This window comes from Homo sapiens, chromosome 10 (assembly GCF_000001405.40).
Source record: "Homo sapiens chromosome 10, GRCh38.p14 Primary Assembly".
Taxonomy (NCBI): Eukaryota; Metazoa; Chordata; class Mammalia; order Primates; family Hominidae; genus Homo; species Homo sapiens.
Window position 1 is genome coordinate 48,901,986 of NC_000010.11, and position 24,148 is coordinate 48,926,133.

Below are 24,148 nucleotides of genomic sequence, written 5' to 3' on the forward strand. Positions count from 1 at the left end.
CTCTCTCCTATTCCTATACATCCTTCATCCTACTCCTGAAATTCCTTCTGCCAGTTAAACCTCTGTGAACAGACTTGAAGTCTCACATGCCCTGTGGCTTTTTCAGACCCAAGTGGCAGGAAGCCATCCTCTGCCTTTGGTGACTGGGCAGGTGGCACAGAGGTGTGGAGTCAGGCCCAGCCTTGGAGGTCAGGCCCTCCCATGGGGGTGTGTGAGCAATCCCATGCTGTCCCTCCTGTGATGAGGGTTTCTGAACGCTTAGAAGCTAAATTCATACAAGTTGGTGTGCGAATCAGACATTAATTTAGGAATCTGTGCTATGGGGCGTCTCTCCCAGTGAATGAATTGCTTGCAGTCCCCCCCGCCGCCGCCAGGTCCCCTTTCCAGCTACCCAGTTCTCTGGAAGGCCACTTAGGGATCAGTAGGTGTTTTTATTTCAGTCGGGGTGAGAATAGAAGAAGGTGGTAGCTGGTTTTCTACAGGAATGTGTGGGGACCAATCAAGAGGGTGTCCCCAGGAATGACATTCAAGATATTTATAATCAGTATAAAATGGGTCTCACTAATTCCTTCAAAATTATTTATTAATAGCTTGTGATACATGGTATTTGCTTGTTGATGGAGCAACAAGCAAATAGAAAAAAAAAATCCCCTGTCCTTATTGAGTTCACATTCTCACCAGGAGGACAGACATAAACCAATATAAATGAGTGAACTATAAAGCATATTAGATAATTATAAGTGTAAGTGTAAAAAACCAAGCAGATAGAGGTGGGCATTGAAATCTTAGATGAGGTGGCAAGCGAAGCCCTTATCAAGAAAACAATCTTTGAATTAATACTTGGCCGGGCGTGGTGGCTCACTCCTGTAATCTCAGCACTTGGGGAGACCAAGGTGGGCAGACCACCTGAGGTCAGGAGTTCAAGACCAGCCTGGCCAACATGGTGAAACCCTGTTTCTATAAAAATACAAAAACTTAGCCAAGCATGATGGCAGGTGCCTGTAATCCCAGCTACTTGGGAGGCTGAGGTGGGAGAATCGCTTGAACCCAGGAGGTGGAGGTTGCAGTGAGCTGAGATCGCGCCACTGCACTCCAGCCTGGGCGACAGAGCAAGACTCTGTCTAAAAAAAAAGGTGGAGAAACATGTTATGCAGTTAATTGAGTAAAGAGTGTGTCAGACCCAGGGAAGAGCAAGGCATGGCTGAGGCTTATCAAATTGGAGTGCAGGGAGTTAGTTGGGGTGGAGGTGAGGGAGGTCACAGGGGATAGTTGGTGCAAGATTCTCATGTCGGTTTTTATTCCAAATAGATGGGAAGCGTTGGAGGATTTTAAGCAGAGGGTTGATGTGAACTGACATATTAATAAGAATCACTCTGGCTGCTGTGCCAAGAATAGACTGGAGTGGGTCAAAGGCAGAAGCTGGAGACTAGTTAGGAAGCTATTGCTGGAGGCTGTTGCAGTAATCCAGGTGAGAGATGATGGTGGCTTGGATCAGGAACATGAAAGCAAAGATAATATGATGTGATCAGATTATGGACATGTTTAAAGGTACATTTGATGGGATCTGATGACAAATCAAGTGTGAGAAATGCATGTATGTGACAGAGGACTTAAGGATAAGACAGAGGATTTAGGCTTCAGCAATTGGAAAATTAAATGAGGATGATCAGAGAAAGAGTGGCTGTAGGGCCACTGTGGCTATCTGAAGCTCAGATTTAGACATGTGAATTTTGAGATGCCTATCATACATCTCAAAGACATCATGGAGCTATTGGGCATATGAATCTGGAGTTCAAGAGAGAGGTTCAAGTGAGACATAAATTTAGAATAGTGTTTAAAGTGATGAGAATGGGCAAGATTATCAAGAATGGATGCACATGGAAAAGAGATCAGAGGACTGTGCCCTGGGCACACCAAACTTACCCTCTGGTAAGGACATGGGCAGAGCCAGCTGAAGAGATGGGGAAGGAGTAGCCAGAAAGGTAGCAGAAACTGTAGGTGTGGAAGACATCCTGGAAGCCAGGTAGAGTGACTCAAGGTGGGAGTGGTCAAGTGTTGTTGGTAGGCCAAGTGGGATAAGAACTGAGAAATGACCATTGAGCTTTGTAACATGAGAGTCATTGATGACCTTCAATAGACTAATTGCAGTGGCTACCAGCAGAGGCTCCTATTGTGCCAGGCACTTACCCTTTATAGATTGTGGTGAAGTGCAAGGCATGCCAGGGTATGGTCCAGGGGACCCGGGCAGCAGTGGGTCGCTGGAGTTGGGGTGGCTGTTTACCAACTGTAATGGGCATAGTTTAATAGTTCAACAACAGGATAGTCCTAATTGTGCATATCTGCTGAATCTCAGCCCTGCTGATCTCATATTGTTTATGTTTCATATAAGCCTTTATGTTCATACTTGGATTTCTCAGCACTGTTTCAGTACAAGGTAAAAAGCTATTTCAAACTAATTGAAGCAAAAAAGAGGATTCATGATAGCATCTACCTGAAGGTCAAAAATGGTCTGGCTCCAGGCATGGCTGGACCGCTAGGCACAAGTAAGTCTGCAGGAAGTGGTGGCTCTCCCTCTCTCAGGGAGGATTTTACTTGGCCTGGCTCCATTTCTCATAGGCGTTCTCATCACAGGGGCACCGATGCCCCCAACAGCTCCAGACTGACAGTCAATCATGCAGGAATCCCACCACACACCGTACATGCTCTATCCCGGTAACTTTAGCAAAACTTCCCAAACTGTCATTTTCCCCAGTTAGGTTAATTACATGCCCATCCCAGAACCAATCAAGTGTTTTCATTGGCTGGATCGGAGGGATGTACCCGCCCAGCTTCTGGGGATAGGGTCAGTCCCACCCAACTACATAGACCAAATTGAGGGGAGTATGGTTCCCTGAGAAAATCAAGGTTCTGTTATCCACAAGGGGGTGAGCACTAAGGGTGTCAGCAAAAGCAGGTGGCCACACATGGTTCCACGCAGAGGGAAGTTCCAAGCCGCAGCACTCATGGGCTGCAGATGGTTTTCTCTCTCCCTGGAGCAATGCTGCATCAATCATGACACACATCACTTCACTGGGCTCCATTGTCTCTGCAGCTCACCCTTTGATGAACCTATTCTGTAATGTCACTCAGTGACAGCATAGCTGTCCCTATGACTGTGGGTAGCTCTCTGTCCATTATTTGTCTTTTGTCCTCAGAATCTTAGTGTTGCCTTGCCTGGAAACACTTACCTTCCTCCACATACCTTCTACTCCAAATATAGAGGGGCAGGTAGAGGAGGGGCAGAGGGAGGAATGCAGAAGAGGAGCTTACCCCCAGCTGTGCCCACTAAGTTAGAGGCCCCTCAGAAATGATTGCCAGGTTGGAGGAAGATGATGTTTTGTAGATGAGTCAAATGTCTGGAGATTACTCCTTACTCATCCCCAGGTTGATGATGACCTGCAATGCCAACCTGTGTACCACCTTGCTTCTGTGGTACAGTTGAGCCCCATTCTGATTTTATTTCCAATGTGATTATTTTTGCCATCATGGCTACCTGATCCCACTGGAGCAGGGTCTTCCAGGGCTATGCTGGGTCATTCCTGGCACAGTCTCAGCACAGCTCCAGGTTGGAGACCCTTGGAGAAGCTTCTGGGGTCATCTAGGAACAGTGCTTAGTGCTTCAGAGGAATGCTCATCTCAGTTCATGGAAGGAGAGCCTCAGCAAAATGCGGACACCCCGCAGAGTGCTGACCCTCGGCTCTGAGGCCACCCATGCAGTGAGGGCATGTGGCAAGACTGTGCTAAATAAACAGCCCCGGGCTTCAGGATCAAGCTGATTTGGGCTCATAGTAGGTGCCCAGTAAATTGTAATCCTTCTGCCTAATTTTAGAATCACCTGATGTGTGTTTGGGCATGTTAACAGAAGAATTGATTAAAAGCAGGTGGCTCTCCTTGCTCTCAGCTCCTCGGAGTGGCCCCCTTTCCAGCCCTTCTCTTGCCAGCCCAATTGTGGCTTCAGGAGCTCCAGGGTGGGAAGGCAGTGGTGGCCCTCAGCCTTAGGAGGGCTTGGCTGGCCACTGACATATGCCTGGAATGAAGCTGATGATTTTTCTTTTGGATCACTGGAGGCAATAATCATAGAATGAGTCTTGAAAAATGCCTAGCTGCTTGTTAGTCACTCTAATGAATGTGGACTTCTTACCTATAAACGAGGTGTGTGTGCCGTTCTGAGGGTTTTCAACTGGCCCATGACACTTGGCCTAGGCTACAGATTTTCATGCCCTAAACCTTCAGCTTTTGATGACTCATGTGGCTCCTTTGGACACCATCCCACACATACAGGAAAATCAGAGCTTTTGGTACCAGAGTTTGCTGAGGCTTTCAGTGACAATGGTTGCCTCCATAACTATATATATGCTAAGAAGGCTCTCTGGGCCTGAATTCCAAGTAGAAAATACTTGCAAAGCCTGCGTGAATCCTGTCCCAATGGTACAGGACTGAACCTTTTGAAGACAGCATGGTAGCCTGTTCAGACTTCTGTGGGGTGCAAGGTTCTGCAAGCCGACAGGGCCTTCTAACATATGCCAGCTAGAGCTGTTGGATGAGTCCTGCTCTGTGGTGTTGAATACCGGCAGGATTTTTGAGATGTAAAAAGACCAATCAGAAAAGGAGAAATGATGGCAGGAACTGCAGGGAAAGGGGGCAGCTAGCTGGAATGCACTTGTGGATAAACACACATCCTCACACTTAAATGTACTCATGCCCTTCCAGAAAGGGCTACAGACAGCTTCAAAATTAAACACAGGGTACAACCATCCTTTAACAATTACCCAACCCCTTTAAAGGGGAAAAAATAGGTGTGGTCATGTGGAGTGAGTTACTCTAATTGTCCTGAGACTAAGAAAACTAAAACAAACAATCATATTGGCTTATATTATTTTCCAGGGATAGATAATAAGAAACAGGCTTTTGCGATTTTTTTTTTTTATTTCTGGAACATACTTTCTCTTGGTGCTGAATATCAAATTTGGTTCTTCTCTAAAGGATTGTGGGTACCAAAGGTGGCAATTCCTTTTTAATAAAACATACAAAAAGAGTACTGGGGAACCTAATTCTCTGTATCAGTTCTCTGCATGAATGGGAGCCTAACATTCGCACTTATTTTTGTACAGGCATTTCTTTGGGAAGCTAACAATACCTGGCTCAGTTACATTGCTTTCTAATGACCTCAGTTCATACTGAGCCCAGATTTCAGAAAACTCAGAGAAATACAAGGCTAGGATGCCTATCTGATTCTCTTTCTCTCAAATCTCTCTTGGGCTCAGCACATATTTTTGGATAAACTGGAAACATCCACCATGTCATTGAGGCAAAAGCATCCCCGGGCTGGAGAAAGCCACTGGGTGTGAGATGGTGCTTGTATTCAGGGCCTGATTGTACCTGGGTGTTTGCAGTTCCTAAAATCATTCTTAACTGTATAAATTCTTCATATATAATGTTTAGAATGAAATTTATTTTGGGGGTGCAAAGATTTACAGTTGAACATTTTCAGTTTATTGTCTCCTTTAGAGATTATCTTTGAAAAATAATGAAAGACAAATAACTTAAAAAACCTACCATAAGAACCTATGCGATTCCCATGAGAATATGACCTTCCATGTTAATTAACCACACCCCAGAGGCACCACAGTTAGCTGGGGGGAGGCTAAAGTTCAAGCTCCCCTTCCTAGCATTTCTCCTCCTTCAATCCTGCCCCCTAGAGATTCATGCCATTGGCTACAGATCTGTAAGGTACACAAATGCTTAACTAGTAAAGGTAGTGCTGGCTCCACCACTGAGTAGAGAAGCATGGTCCTTGGATTTCTTGCTGTACTGAAGCCCTGGGAGCACAACTGTGGAGACCAAACTACTCATATCCTCTGTCTATACCAGAGTCACTGGGACCAGAGGCGAACGGCACCTGGCTGCAGACTCAAAATGAGAGTGACAGCCAGTGCTGCAGCATCTAGGAGCTTGTTCACACATTTGGCTTTGTGGGCCATGAGCATCTGATCCCTGGCCATTCTGCCTAGGTCATGCTCAGACCTTGGCCGTGGCCCCATTCCATGTTCATCTTTGTCTGGCTGTACTAGGTTCATGCCTCATCTCTGCTGTATCCTTAGCCGTAACCTCAGATCCCTTCCAGGGCAAAAGCCTGATGCAAGCCCCAGTCACTGTAGCAAGCCTGCCCTTTTTCCTTCCAACTCTACCCAGCCACATTGCTTCCACAACCTTTATGCTCCCACACCACCAGGGGTGGGGAACAGGTGTGCAAATGCCCAGGAATGCTGATGAGCAACCCACTGGTTCAAGGTTTCTGCCATCCTAGTTGCCCCCTGTGCCCAGCTACCTCCAGAAAACCTGGGACATAGAGATTTCATGCAGTTTCTATTTATTTTGCAACTTTTTCAGGAATCTGCAAGAATAAGATCAACAACGGGAAATTTTAGATTAGCCGGCTGAGCCGAGGTTAAGGTGCCTGAATTGCCTTACTCTGTGCCTCAATTGTATATCTAGGCTGACTCGGTGTTTTAGATTCTCATGTTAAGCTTGCCATAGTGCCTCATAAATCAGCACTGGGCAGATGTATAAGGATCTATTGATTGTTGCATCTAGGCTGTAAGATTTTTTTTTTTAATTTTTATTTCAAAATATTGATTCACAGTTGCAAAAATAGTACAGAGAGACACTGTACACCTTTCACTTAATATCCCCCTCTACCATGGTTACATTTTATATAGCTATAGCACAATTTCAGAACCAGGACACTGACACTGGTACATGTGTATGCGTAGCTCTTTGTCATTTTATCACATGTAGATTTGAGTAACCACCACCACAATCGACATACACAGTTATTTTATCACCACAAAGATATCTCTGTGCTACCACTTTATAGTTATGCCTACCTCCCTGTCTTCCCCCACCATCCTTAAATCCTGGGAATCATGAATCTGTTTTTCATATCTATTATTTTTTCATTTACAGACTGTTCTATACATGGAATCATAGAGTATGTGACTTTTGGAGATGGGCATTTTTTTTTTAACTGAGAATAGTGCCATTGAGATACATTCAAGTTGTTGCATGTATCAGTGGTCTGTTCCTCTTTTCGCTGAGTAGTATTCCATGATAGAAATATACCAGTTTGTTTAACAATTTGTGCATTGAGCAAAATTTGGTTGTTTCCATTTTGTGGTCATTACAAATAAAGCAGATTGTTTACATTTATTACAATTATCAAAATGTTAGAATACAAGTCTGCCATTTTATTTTTATTTTTTGTTTTTTTCCTGTTGTTTATTTCTCTGGTTTCTTTTTCCTGCCTACCTATGCACCATTGAAAGATTTGTTAAAATCCTACCTTATCTATAGTATTTTTTAGCATATTTTTCTATATAACTTTTTGTATAAATTGGAGTTGCTTGAGGTATCTTAGTCCATTTGCATTGCTGTAAAGGAATACTTAAGGCTAGGTAATTTATAAAGAAAAGAAGTTTATTTGAGTCATGGTTCTTACAAGCTGTACAGGTGCCGGCACCTCCTTCTGGTGAGGGCTTTGGGGTATAGGTGCTTCCACTCATGGTGGAAGGTGAAGGGGAGCAGGCATCACATAGTGAGAGGAAGAGAGAGAGAGGAGAGGGAGGTGCCAAGGTCTTTTTAACAATCAATTTTCAACAGGATCTAATACAGTGAGAACTCACTCATTACCAAAAGGATGGCACCAGGCCATTCATGAGGGACCCACCCCCATGACCTTCCATTAGGCCCCACCTCCAACACTGGGGATCAAATCTCAACATGAGGTTTGGAGGAGACAAATGCCCAAACCATATCAGTATCTCATTATACCTACATAAATTTATCACAGACTACTGGCATTGAGATGTACTAGTCTGAGTGAAATGTAGAGGCAGTAAGCCTTTTAAGTCTTAAAGTCTTAAATATTTAGTTGTCTATAATATATAATCTGTAATTTTCTTAAATTTTTTTCTATATACATTTTAAAAACCACATCAAATATTTCCCAAAGTCATTTTCACACACAGGTGGGCTAAAGCTAAGGGAGGTGAAGTGAATTTGAGAAGCAAGTCGGTGGCTTGGCCAGCTCCGGCGAGCCTGGTTTCCAGAACATCTCACTTGCCACTCTGTCTTCTCCTAACTGGGGGCTTCTCCTCTTCAGAGTCGTTTATTCTGTTAGCTGAGTAGTCTTCAAGATTTTGCCACAGCTACTCTAGGAAGATGTCAAGCGTATTCTGGGGATGGAGACACAAGAAGGTGAGGCAATTGCTCCAGGCCACAGAGGCAAACACAGCAAGGGCAGAGGTCACACCAGCTCACCAAGGTCATGCCTGACCTTCAGGATGGTCAGGTTAGTGTGAATGGGGGTTTTGTTGTATTTGAGGAAAGAGAACACCCAAGGCTTTCCTATGAAGTATTTTTATGCTTAATACAATTTCCAAGGAGTAAAGGTGACTGAGGTATTTTAGAGCATGAAGGAACACCAACATCAAACCTTTTCCTTGGCAGAAAAAGAAATAGAATGCGGAAGATGCCTCCTAACTGGTCTCTATCTCCAGTCTGCTTCGTCCTGCTGCCAGCATTTCCTGGCTAAAGAGGTGTCTGACTTGAATGCATTGAGGCAAATCCAGCCCACTGCCTGTGTATGTCTCAATCCTGGTAAAGTTAAATGCACTTGAAACTCCTTCCTGAGATGTGTGATAAGAGGCAAAGCATGATAAAGCCCCAGAGCAAGGCTGGAGTGAGTGTCAGGCCAGCCAAGCAGTTGGCAGCAAGTAAGGGTGTTGAGGACCAAGCATGGCAAGAAGTGTGCTGCAGCGGGGAAGGGAGGACGTGGACCAGCAAACCCTGGGCACCAGGTGGGCTCTGTAACCTCGATGTTTCTCTTAACTTCTCTCCTTTGCTGAACCTTTTGAATACCTAAGGAGGGAAAATTAATTCTAAAGAAAAAGTGTCTGAAGGGGGAGAAATTGAAATGGAAAGTCATCATGTAGCTATCCGGCACTGTCTGTCTCAATCATATGTCTCTGCGTGGACTCTATACCTTTTGGGTCAGAGAAGAAGTGACTGAAATAGCAGATTGGCTCCCTTATGGATATGTCCAAGACCTGGCAGGCTAGCGGTGGCTCCTATACCTACAGCATGGTGTCTCATCACACATGTCTCAGACACGGTCACTCCCCTCAGCTTCAGAAGGGGTTCTCATGAGTCATTTCAGACAGTAGGTGAAGAGAAAAATGTGAAGGACAGTGCTTAGTGCTGGCAAGGATGCCGGGAAATGGGTTCTCTACTACGTTACTGGTAGGCGTATGTGTGTAAACCTTTTATGAGCTACTTGATGGCATGTATCAACATTATTGTTAAAAGACACCCTTTAACACAATATTTCCAATAATGAGGCTATGCCAAGGAAATAATTAAAAATATTTTAAAATGTTTTAGTTATATAGGCTCTCATCACAAGACTATTCCCATTAGTGAAAACTGAAAATAACTTAAAGGTACAACAGTAACTTATAGTTATGTATATCCACAAGAATAACTATCTTGCAGATGTTTTAAAGTGTGTTTATTAATACCAGGTAACAGCATGGGTTTCAAAGCAGGACAGAAATGACAGGAATGCTATAATTTTAACTATGTATAAAAATATATACAGAAAAATAACTAGTAAGGAACTCTGCCAGCATTGCAGCTGACATACTGTAGAATGATGAATGCTTTAAGCTACTATATTTAGTAGTATGTTGTGGTTCTGTTACTTCTACAATGAAAAACACTTAATAAAGGGAAAAACTAAAATGAAAATTTTGAATCTAGATCTCCCAAGGTTTTAGAAATATGATAGGGTTGTCATAGCTAAGCATTACAAGAGGAAGTAAGCAGCAAGGGGTGAAGAAATGAAATGTGCTGTGTGCTGTGGTTGACAATGTGAGGAGAAAATAAGTTAATACCACTTCACTGATGGATGCCTCTTGGTGCTTCTCATCATCCACTCAGCAAACTTGCCAACAACATAGGAAAGTCCTGGGGGAAAAAAGCCTCCCTCAAGGTATCATTCTTGATCTTTTCTTTTACCCACATGAAGGTGTGAGAGTGTGGTACACAGGGAGGCCAGAGAAGGTTCTCAGCTATTGTGAGGATTGACTTGGTTGCTGTCATTTTCTACCAAAAGATCTAGCGTAACTGGCACCACTGTTCAAAGTAGTATTTCAGCTTTGCAATGAACTAAGTTATGGTTCTGGAAGAAAACTGGCTTCTGCTGAGTACGTTCTCCATGTGCTGCCTGTTTTAGAGGCACAGAACACTTGGAGTTCAGTGTGGCATTATTCCCACTTCACGAGTGAGGGAACCTAAGCTATGTTAGGTGCCCAAGGGGATGCCAAGTCAGAAGCAGAGCTGCCATGGACCTAGACCTGTCCAACCTCAGAATCTTTGGCTTTTCTCTTTGCCAGGCCAGCCCTGCACATCCACGACTGGGATCTCCTGAATGCCTCAGACAGTGGTGCTCTGCCCCATCTCATTTCAGTTGCTCTCTCCTCCAGCTTGCACCAGGCAAGCCAAGCTTTCCCCAAAGGGACACGGCCCCTGCACCTAGCATGGTGCTGAGTAAGGTGTTGATTTATTGAATGCACCAATCCATACTTGCCACCATTATTTCGTTTCTCCTATGAGGATCTGGAAAAACACTGAATGTAATAGGATGGGAGTGCAACTTCATTCATTCACAGCCAGTCAGAGGTCTGCAGGTTTAGCCAAGAAAGCTCATAGAGCAAGTTATGCAAGCTCAGTTCAGAGAGAAAACATTGCTTTGGGCCTAAGAAGCTATCTGCCTATTGATGCCTTAATAATAAAACCTGCCCATTTCTGTGGTCCAGCTCTGTCCCCTACCCAACACCAAGTGCTCATCTACTTTCTTACAAACTCATGCTCTGAGATTCCTTGCCTTTGAAGCCCAGACCCAAAACATTTCCATTAAATAACTTCACATTTGGGATCTGGCAGTGGGCTCTGAAATGCCAGTGATAGTGAGTGTGTGGCGGCATTAGCTGCTTAGGCCACAGTGGTAGACAAGAGAGATCTGGGGGCAAGAGTAGGATGGACATGGACAGGCCCTTCCTGACTCACTGTGCCTGTACTTGTGAGTGTGTGTGCAGAGGACAGAGAAATGTGTGGAATGGCAAGGAATCAAAAGCCCTTCAATCAACACAATCACACGCCGAGAAAGTAAGGAAAGGAGTTTTATGGGCTTGGCTGAAAGAGCTGCTGCAGCCACAGGGGAGCCCTTGGTTTCCTGTGGAGGTAGCCCACTGCCCTCTTCCCTCCCTCTCTCTTTCCCTTCTGCCTCAGGGTCAGGTTCCAAGTCACCTCCAGTCTTCCCAGGAGTCCTTGGCCATGGAATTGGGTGAGATCAGATTGGGAAAGATGGTCTTTCTCGGTGTCGTCGTGGCCATGTTCTTGATTCTATTCAGGTTGTCCCGGGCGTTTTGGCATTTTCTCAGGCAAGCCGCACACAGATCCTTCTCCTCCACAACATACAAGTTCTCCAGCCTCCTGATGGAGTCTATGAATATTTCCGACTCACCTGGCTTTGGAAAGGGGTTCCGCTTTATGTTGAGCTTTTTCAGCTTGGGGAGCTTGGAGATGCTCACGGGGATGTTGTTCAGTAGGTTGTCATGGAGCCCTACCTCGTGGAGCTCCTTCAGGGCCCCCAGTGTGGTGGGCACGCTGTCCAGGTGGTTCAAGCCTAGGTTCACAGCGCGGATGTTCTTGAGTTGCTTCAGCTCCACGGGCAGCCCGTTGCTGGTCAGCCGGTTGTTGCTGACGTTGAGGTAGAGCAGGCTGGTCATCTGGCCAATGGACTCAGGCAGCTTGTCTATGTAGTTGCTGTGCAGGTCCAGCCACCGGAGGTTCTGGAACTTGGAGATGGAGTCAGGGATCTTCCTGATAAGATTCCGGCTAAGGTCCAGCTCGTCCATGTCACTAAGGCGCAGAATACACTTGGGGAAGGTGGTAATTCCCATCTTGCTCAAGTCAAGGCGCTTTTTCCCATCAAAAGTGATTTTGATGCAATTCCTGGCCACCTTGAGGGTGATCTTCTTGCCCTTGGGGCCTTTCTCACCCTTAACCATGTTCTTTTAGTAAGGGAGTGTTAGAAGTTTATTGTTCTGATTGGATAGTGATCAGTGTGAGGAAAAATCATGAAAAACTGCTGAAAGATAAGAAAACATCTGGTTAGGAGATGCCAGAGGGCACTGGGCTCCCCCACGTCATGACGCTTTGCTCTTCAGTGGTTTAAAAAGCAAGAAAGAGGATTGCGGAGAGAAGTCAGGGCAAAGTGGACCCAGCCCAGCCATAGATTGTCAGCAAACTGTGTGACTTCTTCAGACTTTGATTTTCTTGGATGTTAAAATAGGAGGTGCAGGGTCAGCCTGAAGGACACTAAATGTCCCTCTAGCTGTGCCATGCCCCGACTTATAAATACTCTCCACTGTCCCAGACTGTCACGTACCCCCAACCCAGAGCCATGTGTGTGTGTTCTTGGATATCTGCCCCTTCCTAGACCCCTGCATTAAGCTAGGATTTCCTGAAGTTTTCATACAAGTTCCTGGGGAGGGACTGCTGAGTTTTCCAGCCAACATAAGCCTGGATCTTAGAGAATAAGGTGGGTACTAAGACCAACTTCTCACATCCCTCTTCCCCTCATGGACCCAGAGGAACTAGTGAGGCCTTGGCTACAGTCCAACAGTAGCCATGCAGAAAAGCCTGTTGCTCAGCCCAGGGATATCAGGGTGTGCCATTGCTGGGCCCAGCAGCACCATAACTCCCCATCATGAGCACACAGGGGGATGGGGGGTGCGGGCAAAGCTCATGGAGAATGCTGCCTTTTCCATCTCCTGCCCATTCTCTCATCCTTCACACTGGACTTCAACTCCTCTGCACAGAAACTTGATAAATGGCCGTGACTGCCTCAGTGCAGGGAAGCAGAATGTCAATGTGATGTGATGGGGATTCTGGCTTCTGCATGCTTGGCTTAGAAGTCCAGCTCTACTCTACTCACAATCTTCTTAAATTCCCAGTGCTTGTGTTTTCTTATTTGTGAAAACAGACACCCTTACAGAGCTATGAGGGGGCGTAAATTATCTAATACTATAAAGCACTTATAACAGTGCCTGGTACATAGTAATAGCTTGATTAATGTTAGTTATTAAAAATTGCTACACATATTGTTTCTAATCCTCAATAACAAGGTCCACAGCATTACCCTATCATAGCGAGACTGAGGCTCAGAAGTGAGGAAGGTCTGCAGCCAGGAAGAGGACGCAACTCTGTTCTGTTTGGTTCTGGGACCCCCTTTTCTTTTTAAAGGCCTCCTGTGCCTCCTGCTTGCTGATTTTTTTTTTTGGACCAAGATTTCCAAACCAGGCAGAAGTATGCCCTTGGGAGACACAAACTTGCATTGCCTCTGTTCCCTGCAGGGATGGGCAGGGAGAGGTGCTCTACAGTTTCTGTACTTCATCACCTGTACCTTTTATTAGAACCCAAGTTGATATAGCACATGAATATTGAGCAATCAGGCTGTGTGGGAATATAGTTGTATGTTTTCCTCACCCAGTGTCAAAGGGAAATGTGTACAAGCCTGTCTCACACCTACTGAAAATCCCACTGTCACCACTCATAGCTGAAGGGTCAGAGGGTCCTACCCTGCGAAAGGCCTGATGGATCACAGCCGCCTGGGATAGATGGTGGTCTCCACAGTAAACCAATGACAGTTCTTAGCTCTTGGCAGCATTGATGTTCATTTACACAGGCCTTGTAAGCTGACCCTAGTCTTTAAAAATAGTGGACTCCCCATTTTCGGGCATAATTGGCTGGTTTCCAGAGCCAGCACCATGTTCACCAATACTGAACTGTCTATATCATTCAGCTCTGAGAAACCAGATAGGATAAAACAGCTTAAAAAACAAAGTGGAGTCCAAGTCCAGTTAAGATTTTGTATGCTCACTTGGTCCCACCAAACTCCTGAAAGCAAGTAAAGCCTTGGGCAGAATGCACAGAGAAGCACTCTGGGGACTCTGAGATAAGTGATATCAGGCAGATTGGAGAAGAAATCCATAACTCAAAGTAAAGACCAATCTGGCCACAAGTTTCCTGAACTCCTTTTTCTCCCCTCAACCGTTTCTCTTGGCTTGGACTCAAGGGCAGCCCAGAACACAAAACTTTGCACCAGATGAGGACAGAAAGATTTCTGATTTCCAACAAGAGCCTCTCTTTCTGGTCCAAGGAACAGGAAATGGATTTTTAAGGGTCAGAGACAGTAAGGGAAATCTGTTTGGTGTTCTGTTTTTTGTTTGTTTGTTTGTTTGCTTGCTTGCTTCTCTCCTGTCTCATCCCAGGCCACCCTGTATCCCTGGAGTCATCCAGGCAGGCATCTAGAAGCTGGAAGAAGAGAACCATTGTCTTTGACCAAACTGTGGTCCTCAGAGCTGGGGGGTTGCTTTGTTTTCTCTACCCTACTGCCACTTGGCTCTAGAGGCAGAAACAGTTGCAAGAAGTGTGCAACAGATTTAGAAAACAAAATCCAGCCAGAAGACCAAAAAGTCGGGGGAGAAGAGATGCTCCTGGGAGCCACAGAGTTCAGAGAGATTGCAACAGGGAAGAAATTCAGGAAAAGTGATTCTGAAAGTTGTATAGCAACTCTGAACTCTCCTGAGCTGCCTCTGTTTAAAGGCAGAGGTGATTTCTTCATTGTGTGATCAAAGAGTATACTTACACAAACCTAAATGGAATAACCTACTACAGACCCCTAGGTGCTTTTTAAAAGTAAAAAGTCCTGCTTTAAAAATATGTGTGTGTGTGTGTGTGTGTGTGTGTGTGTGTGTGTGTACAACCATGTGCTGCATAATGATGTTTTGGTCAATGACAGATTGCATATATGACAGTTGTCCCATAAGATTGTGATACTATAATTTTACTTTACCTCTTCCAGGTTTAGATACACAAATACTTACCCTTGTGTTACAATTGCCTATAGTGTTTAGTACAGTAACATGCTGTACAGGTCTGTAGCCTGGAAGCAATAGACTAGATCATGTAGTCTACCTAGGTCTATAGTAGGCTATACCATCTAGGTTTGTGTAAGTGCACTCTTTGATGTTCACATAATGATGAAATTGCCTAAGGATGTATTTCTCAGAAAGTATTCACATCATGAAGTGACATGTGCCTCTATCTCTATCTCTGCTGATACCTATACTTACACCTGTATCTCAGAAAGTGTGGAAAAACAGTTGTGGTGCAGAAAAACATTTGAAGGAAAAATGGCTGAAAACTTCCAACAGTGATGAAAAAGATAAAAATTACAAACACAGGAAGGAAGCTCAGCGAACTCCAAACAAGATAAATAAAGAAATTCACACTCAGACACATAATCAAACTGCTCCAAATTAAAGAAAAAACATGAAAGCTGCCGGAGAACAATGACGTATCACCCACAGGGGAACAGCAATAGGAATGACTGCAGGTTTCTCATCAGAAACCACAGGGGCCAGAGGTGCTGGAAACATCATTTTTAAAGTGCTGAAAGAAAAGAACTATCAACCCAGACTGTGACAGTATCCTTTATAAATGAAGGCAAAATAAAGACATTATCAGATGAGTGAAAAATAAGTTTTTGCCACTAACTAAGCTGCTGTAAAAGAAATGTCCAAGGAAGTTCTTCAGGTGAAAGGGAAACTATACTAGAGAGGAACTCCAAACTTTGGGGATAAAGGAAGTGCAATGGAAATGCTAAATATCTGAGTAAATGTGGAGTATTTTTCTCTTCTAAATACCCTTAAAATATGTATGTGATCGAAAGAAAACTAACACTGTGTGATGGAGTTGTCAAAGTATGTAGATGTCATACATAAGACAACTACTACATAACGGGGAAGTGAGCAAGACCTATATGGTGGTAAGGGTTTTACACTGCTTTTGAAGTGGTGAAAGGTTAATTTTAAGCAGACAGTAAAGTATGTGTATTTTAATCCTCAGAGCAATCACTAAGGCAATATATAAAAAGATATAGTAAATAGTAAAAAACTAAATATATAAATGAGAATAAAACAGTTTAAAAATTCAAATAATACAAAGAAGGCAGGAAAAGGGAACAGAAGGAGCAAACAGACAACAACTATTAAAATGATAGACTGAAACTCAAACATAGCAATACTTACATTAAGTGAAAGTGACCTACATGCTCCAATTAAAAGACACAATTATCAGGATAGATTACAAAAGAAAAAGACCCAATTGTATGTTGTCTATAAAGAAAGTATACTTTAAATAAGCAACAGTGAGTTGAACTAAAAGAATGTAAAAAGACATACCATGCAAACACTAAAGGAAGGATGTAGTGACTTTATTAATGTCAGATAAAGCATATTTCAGAACAAGAAAATTTACAGGAAGTAAGACCATTACTTATTAATAAAATGATCATTTAACCAATAGGACAAAAAAATCCTAAATGTGTATGTACCTAACAGCAGAGCTTCAATTTAAATGAAGCAAAAACATAAAATTGAAAGGAAAAATGGATAAATTTACCATTAGAATTGGAGACATCAATACTTGTCTCTCAGCAGTCAATAGAACAGGTAGAGAGAAAATCAGCAAGGAAAAGGGTTTCTCAACCTTGGCTCTGTTGACATTTTAGACCAGGTAATTATTTGTTGTCAGCAGGGGGTAGGATGGTGACAGGGCTTGGGGGAAGACCTGCCTTGTACATTGTAGAATGTTTAGCAGAGTAAGGCCAGAAGATTCTACCCACTGGTTGCCAATAGCTGCCCACTAGTTGTAACAATCAATAATGTCTCTTGACATTGCCAAATGTCCACTGAGGAGCAAAATTGCCTGGAGATGAGAACTGCTAGTATAGAATAACTCACTATTACCACTGACCAACTGAATCTGACATGTATAAAGCACTCTACCTAGCAACTGCAGAATACAAACTCTTTTCAAGTACATATGGAATATCCACTAACACAGACTATATTTTGGGTCATGAAACAAGCCTTAACGAATTTAAAGGAGTTGAAATTGTACAAAAAAGTACAAGCTGGTTCTTTGAAAAGATTAATGAAACAGATAGCCAGACTGACAATTTAAAAAAAAAAGAAAGAGAAGCCAAATTACACATATCAGGAGTTAAAGGGAGGATTTACTAAATCCCACAGGCATTAAAGGGATAATAAGAGAACAGTACAAACAACTCTAAAAAAAAGAGGAACTTAGATAAGATCAACTAAAAACTACTAAATATTTGCGAAGGAATGAAAACCCAAATAGACCTGTATTTATTGAAGAAATGGAATTCACGGTTGAAACCCTTTCAAAAAAGAAAACCCAAAGCCCAGTAGTCTTATTGTTAAATTCTATCAAACATTTAAAGAAGACTGTCTTGGTCCACTCAGGCTACTATAACAAAGTACCATAGACTAGTTGGCTTGTAAGCAACATAAATTTATCTCTCACTGTTCCAGAGGCTGGGAAGTCCAAATCAAGTCACTGGCAGATTTGCCATCTGGTAAGAGCATGCTACCTGGTTCATAGATGTTTTCTTGCCGTGTCCTCACATGGTAGAAAGAGAGCAAAACAATTGTCTGGAGCCCCTTTTGGTAATGGCATAAATTCCATTTATGAAGTCTCCACCCTCAAGATCTAATTTCCTCATGATCTAAATGCCTCACTTTCTGATACACTCACACTGGAGATCAGAGTTTCAATACAGATTTTTGGGGGACACAAACATTCAATCAATTGCAAAGACATACTAGCAATTTGATATGATCTCTTTCAAAAAAAAATAGAATAGAGAGTGATTCTCAACGTATTTTCTGATGTCAGCATTACCCTGATGCTAAAATCACACAAAGACATATAAGAAAGAGATCTTCAGACCAATATTCTTCATGAACATAGTTACAAAAATCCTCAACATAGTATTAGCAAATTGAATCCAGTAACAAGTAAAAAGAATATAAATGACAGCCCAAACTTACTCAATACTTGGGAATCAGTTAATGTAACATACCATATTAACAGACTAAAAAGAAAAAAAAAAGATCTTATAATTGATGCAGAAAAGACATTTGACAATGTAACATCTGCTAGTGATTAAAAACTCTCAGCAAACTGGTAATAGAAAGGCCCTTCCTTATCTGGCTAAAGGACGTCCACAAAAAAGCTAGAGCGGACAAAAAACCAAATACCACATGTTCTCACTCATAGGTGGGAATTGAACAATGAGAACACATGGACACAGGAAGGGGAGCATCACACACCGGGGCCTGTTGTGGGGTGGGGGGAAGGGGGAGGGATAGCATTAGGAGATATACCTAATGTTAAATGACGAATTAATGGGTGCAGCACACCAACATGGCACATGTATACATATGTAACTAACCTGCACGTTGTGCACATATACCCTAAAACTTAAAGTATAATTTAAAACAATTGAAAAAAAAGAAAAAAAAAGCTAGAGCTAGTATCATACTTCGTGAAGGACAGAAGGTTCTTCTCTGAAGTTTGGGACTAAGACAAGAGAGCACACTTTCACTATGTCTGTTCAGTATTACTTTGGAAATTCTAACCAGTGCAATAATGCAAAAAATAAAGGCATACAGACAGAAAAGAATGAAATAAAACTGTTCTTATGCACAGATGTCATGACTGTCCACATAGAGAATCCCACAGAATTTTAAAAAGATTCTTGGAACTAATAAGTGAGTTTAGCAAGGCCATAGGATACAAGGTTAGCACACAAAACACCCATTGCATTTCCATATTACTAGCTATTAACAATTGGAAACTGAATTATGAAAAATAATAATGCTCCAAATAATAAAATACTTCTATATTTCACATAAATAACCAAAATATGCAGGATTTTTATAATGAAAATTATAAAATGCTGATGTAAGAAAGCAAAGAAGATCTAAATAAATGGAGAAACATACCATGTTCGTGAATTGGATGACTTAATGTCAACTCTCCCCAAATTGGTCTAATCAAAATTACAGGAGGATTATTTACATATATGGATGAATAGATTTTAAAACTTATATGAAAGGAAAAGAAACTAGGAATGGAAAATAATTTTGAAAAAGAATAATAGAGTTGGAGGATTATGTGTCCCAATTTTAAAATTTACCATATAGTTACAGCATGTGGTATTATTGGTGATGGGACAGGTAGATAGGTCAATGGAACAGAAAATAGAGTCCAGAAATAGATCTACACAAACATGGCCAAATGGTCAATTGATTTTTGAAAAAAGGTCAAAGGATGTTCAATGGAGAGAAAATGAACTCTTTAACAAACGATGTTGAAATTGGTTATTTATATGCAAAAATTAAACCTTGGCCTAATTAACACACATTGACTCAAAATGGATCATAGATTTGAATGTAAAATGTAAGACTATAAAACTTTGAAAAGAAAATGAAGGAGAAAATCTTCATGACTTTGAATCAGGCAAAAGCACAATTTACAAAAGATAGTATTAATAAGTTGAACACAATTAAAAGCTCTGTGGAAAAAAAAAACGTTGAGCATGAAAAGACAAGCTACAGACTGGAAGAAAATAGTGCAAATCATATATATCATAGATATCTGGTATCCAAAATCTATAAAGATCTTTTCAACTCAACAGTAAGAAAGCAAACAATACAATTTTTTTTAATGTCCAGAATATTTAAAGATACATTTCAAGATAGAAATGTACAGACACAAAAATCGATAGTGCAAAGTTTTGGCAAGGAGATGCTGCAACTAGAGTTCTCATTCCTTGCTGATGGGAATGCAAAATGGTATAGTCTCTTGGAAGACACTTCGGAAATTTCTTATAAAATTAACCATATAGTTATTATATCATCTGGCATTTTCCCAACTAAGTATTTACCCTAGAAAAGTAAAATTCCATGTTCATACTGAAACCTGTTCACAGGTATTTATAGCTGCTCTATTCATAATTGCCCCAAACAGAAAAATAATAAATGTCCTTCAATGGGTGGATTCCTAATACTGTACAGTAGTCCCCCTTATCTGCTATTTCCATTTCCACATTTTTAGTTCCCCAGATTGGAAATATTAAATGGAAAACCCCAGAAATAAGAAATTCATACATTTTGAATTGCTCACTGTTCTGAGTAGTATGAGGAAATCTCAGGCCATCCTGCTACATCCCACCCAGACCTTGAATCATCCCTTTTTCCAGTGGATTCACTCTGTAAATGCTAGCTGCCTGTTCGTCACTTAGTAGCTGTCCTAGTAGTGAGTAGTGATGCTGGTAGTTCAGATATGCCAAAGAGAGAGATGCCTTAAAGTGCTTCCTTTAAGTGAAAAGGTGAAAGTTCTTGACTTGGGGAAAAAAACAAATCATATGCTGAGGTTGCTAACATCTACAGCAAGAATGAATCTTCTATCTGTGAAGTTGAGAACAGTAAATTGTTGAAATTGTTCTATTTTATGATGAATTGTTGTTCATCTCTTACGGTGCCTAACTCGTAAATTAAACTTTATCATAGGCATGTTTTCCTATAGGAAAAACATAGTGTACTATAGTGGTTTCAGGTATTCAATGGGGGTCTTAGAACATATCACCTGTGGGTAAGCGAGGACTGTGGTAATGGAATACTACTAAACACAAAGTCTACGGATACATGCGACAACTTGGATGAACCCTAAAGCATTTTGCCTAATAAAAAAATGTCTCAAACGTCTACATGAATGGAATGATTCCATTTATGTCACCTTCTGAAAAAGCCATAACTTTAGGTGCAGAACAAATCTATGGTTGCAGGGATTAGGGGTTGGGGAAAGGCTTGACTAGAAGGGAGAGTCACAAGTGAGTTTTCTGGGTTGGTGTCACTGCCTGCACCCTGACAGTGATGGTGGTTACATGAATCTGTACATCTGTTGAAGCTTAGAGAACTGTGCCCAAAAAGGCAATTTTACTGCAGAAACATTTTTAAAAAATCGTTTTTAAAAAAACTTTACAAAATAGTTGGGACTCCATATTCTACTTCTGTTCCTCTCACTGTGTCTGCTGGCTTGTCCCACGTTGGAAGTCTGTGATTTTGTTAAGCCCCCACACAACCAGTTCTGCCCCTGAAAGGGCATCCAAATAGGTAGCATCTGGGCACCACTGTGGTCCAATGTGTATGTCTCCCTGGTGTATGCACTGGGGGGATGTTGTGTACCACAGGGAACAGATGTTCGCAAGCTGGCATGTCAGAAAAACTGTCTACTGTGCTTGAGTTGAAATCTTCATTAAAAAGAGATGAATTGAGATCAAGGAAGTCTATGCACTCATCTGATGTTTATCAATGGCTTCTCCCCATGGTAGATTTGCCAGATTTAGCAAATAAAATTGCAAAATCCCCAGTAAAATTTGAGCTTCAGGTAAACAACAAATAGTTTTTAGTATATATATATATATATGTCCCAAATACCGCATAGTCCTGTATTTTATTTGGCAACCCTATCCCATGGGCCTAAACAATCAGTAAATTTTCATTTATCTATGGTCATTATTAGTGCTTACTCATGCATTCGTTCATTTGTTCATTCACTGTATGAGCATATTGAGTGCCTACCATTTATCAACCCTCTGAGCAACACAGATAAACAGTAATCAGGCCCAGTCCTCAAGTTGAAATAGTTCAAATCTAGATTCTCACTGATTCTGGCCACCAGATTCCCCTGAACACCAAAAACCTGGGCTGCCTTTTGGTTTTCTTCTACTATCTAAGATAAAATTCAGCTCAGGGAGGCCAAACACACTGAGCATGGCTTAGAGAGAATCCTGGACAGGAAGGGGTGCTTCCAGCAAATGGGACATCCAGCCAGTTGGGCCCAGCTGTGCCGGTTGCCCACAGCCCACCCACACTGTGAGAAGAAGCCCTCCCAGCTCTGATGAATGGTGATGAGGAAGCAGCACGGAGCTGGCTACAGAGAACTCCTCCGTTAAGGAGCCTCTCTCCAAAGGGCCCTTTGGCTCCAAGCCTGCCCATTAATCACCTCAAGGTAAAGTGAGGGCTGGCTAGGATAATGTACTTCACCTCCCCAGGGAGTCTGGGTCCCTAGGCAGCCCCGGGGCCAGATGGGGCACAGTGAACTTCCACCCTTTCTGCGCTTCTCCCTGGGGTCACCCGACCTTGGCAGGGACCCTTCCTCTCAGTTATAGAAGGCAGAGTGTGTTGTGTGGCTCAGGGTCCATCCTGACCCCCTAAGCTGCCCAGTACCACTAGAAGCAGACCCAGTGCCAGAAGCCATGATCTTTTGATCATCTGTTTGAAACTGGCTAGATGGCCTATTATCAGTTCATAGAATTCTTGAAATGTAAGAGTGGGATCAACCCACACAAGGGAAGCTGATAGTTATAGGGAGAAAGATGTAAGTAGATAAGCAGATAGATGGGCGAATAGACAGACGAATGGATGTATTTATGTATGGTTGGATGGATAATAGATTTCATTTCACATGAACAGCTTAGCAGCTCAAATATAAGAGGTTTCTAAAGGTACTGTGTCTTTTTGTTCTTGTACAATTTTTTTTTATACTTTGGAAAAAGTGGCCCAGTTGGTTTGACTTTAATTTCTAATTAATTTTTTCTCTTTAGTCATTGTGAATCAAACAGCATGGTGGGATACCCCATGGATATCTAAATTAAAAAAGTAATGGCAACCAATATATTAATGTCATCCAAATATTTGCAAGCATTTCCAGTTGTAAGACCCTTGTCAATATGATACTAGAATTTGTCTGGTGCTTCACACTCATGTATCTTTGACTACAATTTTAAGCAGACTGACTTTGTTTCTATATTTCTGACATCCCTAAATAGCTTGCTAACACAATCTTACAATAATAATTTCATTCTTTCAACTGATCCATTGAGATACAGGATAGACACATGGAACTGAAACCCCCATAGACACTGCCATTTCACAGCCAGTATTTGGGACTAGCTTTGTAGGCAGTTTCATGTCATGTGGATGAGAAATATCTTTTACTTGTCGGTCATCTCTTAAAAGGAAATGATGCAAACTTCCCTCAACAACTCACTCATTCAAAGGTAACTGCATTTGTTCTCTCTCCCGACCCTCATATTTACTGGGTGTGTAACAGGCCAGCTCACCTAACTGTGACCTCCCGAGTGGCTTCAGATCACTCTGTGTCCTCTGCCCCTTCCCAGAATGGTCATGCTCCCTCTAAAGAGAGGCGGGGCTGTATCTTCACAGATGAAGTCCATGGGAGGTGGAGACCTGCACTGTCATAGTGGGTCCTGTGTATGTAATGGGTGTGTTGGGAACCTCTGGGCAGGCCGCTGAAATCAGCACTAACTTTTGACTCAGGCATAGCTTGGAGAATTACCCCTTGTCCAAAGATCATTCTGGGCCCGAAATTGTGTGCTGTGCTACTTGCTCTGCAGTGTTACCTAGATTTAGGAATATAGATTCCTTGGGGGTATAAACATAAAGTGTTTTCATTTTCTCCACTAACTGCCCCAATGTGAGCACTGCTTCCCTGTGGGCAGAAGGACAGATTGCTAGAAAGGGACAGATTAGAGGTGCAGAGATGATGGTGCAGCTCACAGCAGTAGCTCCACCACACTCTGAGCAGAGCTGATGGAGGGATGATGGCAGGAGAGATGCAGAAGCAGGGGTTGGAATCTTACAGGGACTCCACAGTTTGGGGGGATTTCTGACATCAATTTTGGAAATACTGCCAATGTCAAGAGCTCCTCTCTATCATTCACTCATGGTACCAAAGTAATTGCCTCAAACATGCTGCTGGGCCCTTCATGTATGTCTAATCTCCAGAGAAACTAAGCAAAATATCTTATAGTAAAATATTTTTACTATAAGAGAATTGAGACTCAGAGAAGTTAAGTGACTTCCCCAAAGTCACACAGGCAGCAAAGAATACAGCCAAAGTCAAACCTCAATGTGTCTGATACGCAAGCTGGTGTACAATCTTTCTATACACTGTGCCACCTCTCTCTCTCCTCCCTCTGTTGCCTGTGCTCCCCCAGTGGCAAATGCCTCATCCTGGGGAT

General features: G+C 42.4%; 2 protein-coding genes across 17 annotated transcripts in view; one reads left to right on the forward strand and one right to left on the reverse strand.

Moving 5' to 3' along the window:
* The window catches only part of WDFY4 (WDFY family member 4), a 298,084-nt gene that overhangs the window by 217,113 nt on the left and 56,823 nt on the right, over positions 1 to 24,148 (forward strand). The gene's annotated exons all lie outside the window — the stretch shown is intronic.
* The window catches only part of LRRC18 (leucine rich repeat containing 18), a 30,361-nt gene continuing 13,707 nt past the window's right edge, over positions 7,495 to 24,148 (reverse strand). For 3 of the 8 annotated variants that reach the window (NM_001378102.1, XM_011539822.2, XM_011539826.4), the window contains 2 exons: positions 11,407 to 12,247; positions 7,495 to 8,273 (listed from right to left, as the gene is read on the reverse strand). In NM_001378102.1, the coding sequence (NP_001365031.1) occupies positions 8,252 to 8,273; positions 11,407 to 12,170 (786 nt within the window). In that variant the 5' untranslated portion in view covers positions 12,171 to 12,247 and the 3' untranslated portion in view covers positions 7,495 to 8,251. Of the gene's footprint in view, positions 8,274 to 11,406; positions 12,251 to 23,227; positions 23,303 to 24,148 lie in introns of those variants that run through there. The other 5 variants (XM_011539823.2, XM_017016276.2, XM_017016277.3 and 2 more) reach the window with 3 other exon arrangements.